Source organism: Homo sapiens, chromosome 2 (assembly GCF_000001405.40).
Source record: "Homo sapiens chromosome 2, GRCh38.p14 Primary Assembly".
Lineage (NCBI taxonomy): Eukaryota > Metazoa > Chordata > Mammalia > Primates > Hominidae > Homo > Homo sapiens.
The window spans coordinates 186,304,680-186,308,676 of record NC_000002.12 but is presented as its reverse complement, the minus strand read 5'-3'; the positions used below and the strand labels follow the sequence as shown (position 1 = coordinate 186,308,676).

Sequence of the window (3,997 nt, the reverse complement as noted above, 5' to 3'; positions counted from 1 at the left end):
GGACATCCCTTATCAGCCTCTATAGACCTTACTTTACAATTTACACTTCTTACCTTCCACCCTGTGGGCCTGCTGAAGTATCATAGTTTTCTATGCCACACCATTTCAAGCCCCTGTGACCTTGCTCTTTCCCTATCCTGTCCTCATGGGAGTGAGTCAGACAGGAAAAACCTCCTGAGTGTTACAACACCTTAGCAGAAGAATAGTTTCAACAAATGGTTCTCAAACTTTAACGTGCTTCAGACTCTCCTAGCAAACCAGCTTGCTAAATTGCAGATTCCTAGGCTTTCAGGGTGAAGGAAAGAAAAATATTTCACCCCAAAATATACTTCTTTGTCATATTTTGAGATGTTTGTTCAGAGGGCCTGCAAACAGAAGTAATCCTGCAAGGTTGTCTTTTGTTGGGGGAGATTTGCATCTATAGAGAAAATCTGCATGATGCAGCCAGATTTTCTCTGAGGCCTTTCTTTGTCCAGATCTAGGAAATATTAACTGAGAGTCTGACACCTTTAAAGGTTTGAAAGAAACATTCACCATCTGTTCTGTCTGAGGGCTGCTACATGTGAGTTTCATCTATATAACAAGACCACATTTGCTAGCCAGGCTTCCTCTTCTCCCTCTCCCATAACCTGTTTTGCTACCATAACCTGTTTTGCCATGATCCAAGCTGCCATTCTTTCTGTAACCACAGGAGGGTATATAAATTTTTGAACCCCACTGGGGCATGGGGGTAATCATGCTGTGGTTTTTCCCTCATGTGCACTTTAATAAATGTGTATGCCTTTTCTCCAGTTAATCTCTTTTTGTGAATTGATTTTTCAGCAAACCTTCAAAGGGCAAATTGGAAGCTTTTCTTTAGTCCCCTACAAGGGAATTACAGATTCAGCAAGTCTGGGAGGAGAAGCCCAGGAACATGCATTCTAGAAAATATGCATTCTGGAAACTCCAGGGGATTTGAAGCATGTATCCGTGATCATACTTTGAGAAAATTGGGCTTAAAGGATTTGCAGTCCTGGGGTGGCAAGGAGGAAGGCTGAAGAATTGGATAAGATGGCACTCCACATGTAGGAATACCATGAGCAAAGGCAGCTTATATTGGTGTGCAGGAGATGGTTGTTAAATTTTCAGCGATTTTGTGATTGATTTTTGAATACAGCCATTATTAAATAGGTTATATAAACTGACCCTTAAATAAATTATATTAAATGCAAAATAATAAACATAAAAGAACTTATTACTTCCTATTTATTTAACTACCTTTTACTATTACCTATGCTCTTAGGCACATCTATGCTCTTAAGTATGTGTCTATTTTAACTGTGTGGTAAAATTACTATATTATCAAGTGCTACTGTAAACCAAAAAGTATCTGAGACAAATCTCAATCAATTTAGAAGTTTGTTTTGCCAAGGTTAAGGATATGCCTGCGCCACAGCCTCAGAAGGTCCTGATGACACATGCCCAAGGTGATCAGGCTAAAGGTTGGTGTTATATTATACATTTTAGGGAGACTTAAGACATCAATCAGTACATGCAAGATTTACATTGATTTGGTCTAGAAAGGTAAGACAACTCAAAGTGGGGGCTTCCAGGTTATAGGTGGATTCAAAGATTTCCTGACTGGCAATTGGTTGAAAGAGTTTGTCTAAAGACCTGGAATCCATACAAGAGAGTGTCTGGGTTAAGATAAGAAGTTAAGACCAAGGTTATTATTATGCAGATGAAGCCTCTAGGTAGTAGGCTTCAGAGATAATAGATTGTAAATGTTTTTTATCAGACTTGAAAAGCTACCAGACTCTTAATGTTAATTCTCTCCTGGATCAAGGAAAAGACCTGGAAAGGGAAGGGGATTTCCTGCAGAATGTAGATTTTTTGAAGCCACAAGAGACAGCTTTGCAGGGCCATTTCAAAATATGTCAAAGAAATCTATTTCGGGGTAAAATACTTCAATTTCTTTCTGGGGCTGCTGTCTCTCATGTGATGCTGTACTAGTGTCAGGCTGGAATTTGGTGTCTTATTGCTACAAAAAGTATTAAGATATCCATTTTAATGTTAATGCTGGTCAGTTGTGCCTGAATTCCAAAGGGAGCGGGGTATAATGAGGCATATTTGACCCCCCTTCCCATCATGGCCTCAACTAGTTTTTTAGGTAAACTTTAGAATGCCCGTGGTTGAGAGGAGGGGTCCATTCAGATGGTTGGGGTGGGCCTGGAATTTTATTTTTAGTTTACACTACTCTGTATCTCTACTCAACTTCACATTCAGTGATGCCATGTTAGTAGCTTACTATTAGCCACGGTAGGAGTATTTGCAACATAAATGTTGGCAAATGTTACAAATCTGGGTTCTATCTATATCTCCCCACTGTGAGACTAATTTACCAGCATATTACTGAATGAGGATGAAAAAATGTTGGTTTTATATGATGAAGTACAAGCAGTGTGATCTTTCTGGAACTTTAGCTGGAAGTAGCTAAGAATTGGGTATTGGCCATTTCGTGGAGTGCTTTATGTGATCCAGTTTTGAGAAGCAAGGAGTTTATTCTACTAATAATGGAAAACCACTGTAGCATTTTAGTATATGGAGCGGTCACATTTATTGTTGGAAAGGTGGCTCTGTGAAGCATAATTTTGAAATTGATCAAATTAAAAGGAGACCATTTAGGAGGCCATATTTCATATGACAGATCATGATGAATTGGACGGATAGTGGAAGTATAGAGAGTAGAATCGACTATCTGGAGAAATAGTCAGCAGTTAAACTTGTCAGTAATTAGAAGGTGGTGAGAGACAGGAGTCATATTTCTAATCTGGTTGACTGGTTGGGTGGTGGCACAAGCCAATGACGTAGAGAATACAAGCATCAAAGCAAGTTTAGATGAGGAAAATAATGTGTACGTTAAAGATTTGCTGTTACTGATGAAACTGTATGATAGAACTTCCCAAACTTTCTCATGTTATGACACTCATAGAGGATGATACTGTGATACTGTGGCACATGAGATAAAAGAGAGACGGGTTAATGTTAAGGACAACTAACTTCTGAAGTATGATCACTCCAGCTCTTACTCTGATTGCCTCATATATATGTTTTATATATTTACATAACACATATATAATTATCATATGTTGTAAAATGCTCACAGAGCTCAGTTAAGTAAAATGTTTAAAGTTGATATGACCTATGGGAAAGTTGGAAGTTATGAATGAAACACATACAAATTAAGTGTCCAGGATTTTGTCTTAAAATAAGAGAATGACAGTTACTCTGATTGAAGCTGTGTTATCACTGCTGTGGTTTAGTATTTCTCTGTTATCACTGAAAAGAAGAGGTAGAAACTGCAATTGACAATTGAGTTCTGTTAAGCTAATCGGAAGTGCAAAGTGAGCAAATTAATGTCTTTTTTAAGATAATTTTAATTGACAATTATAATAAAAAGGAAATTGAATGTTTTCAGTATAAACTGAGAGAGAAGACTGCCCAAGTTCTGGCCTATAGACAGAAGACTTCTAACAGTAAGAAATTGATAAATTTCTATTTCTTTTTAGTAACTGGGAAAGTTATTATTTTTATTTACCATAAAGTGCCACAGCATGTTATTTTTTTCCTTCTCTTTGACCTACACAATTAAATCTATGTTTATAATATTTTTTATACTAAAAATGAGGAGGTAGGGTAGAGGAAGTACCTTTTCCTTACCGATCCTAGGTTCATGGCTGAGGCCCTGATAACAAAAGATTTATGAACAAGAGTAAAACATACAAGTTTATTTAATATAAGTTTCATGTGATACAAGAGCCTTCATAACGAAATGAAGATGCAAAGAAATGGGTAAACCTGTATATTTGTTATGCCGGGTTTGATGAAGTAGATAGAGTCATGGAGATGTATGATTGGATAAAGAAGTGTGATTTAATAGTACTAAACTGGAGGAAATATAGCAAGGCCTATTTGTTCAGATTCTTCCCTATCTTTGGAGATAAGCATGTTCTTTTCA

General features: G+C 37.2%; 2 annotated features.

Moving 5' to 3' along the window:
- Window positions 381–881: an enhancer, noted in NCBI's record as "H3K4me1 hESC enhancer chr2:187172523-187173023 (GRCh37/hg19 assembly coordinates)". NCBI's record gives its function as "activates a minimal SCP1, AML or CMV promoter by ChIP-STARR-seq in naive H9 embryonic stem cells {active_cell/tissue: H9 hESC(naive)}" and the evidence as "EXISTENCE:reporter gene assay evidence [ECO:0000049][PMID:30033119]".
- Window positions 882–1,382: an enhancer, noted in NCBI's record as "H3K4me1 hESC enhancer chr2:187172022-187172522 (GRCh37/hg19 assembly coordinates)". NCBI's record gives its function as "activates a minimal SCP1, AML or CMV promoter by ChIP-STARR-seq in naive H9 embryonic stem cells {active_cell/tissue: H9 hESC(naive)}" and the evidence as "EXISTENCE:reporter gene assay evidence [ECO:0000049][PMID:30033119]".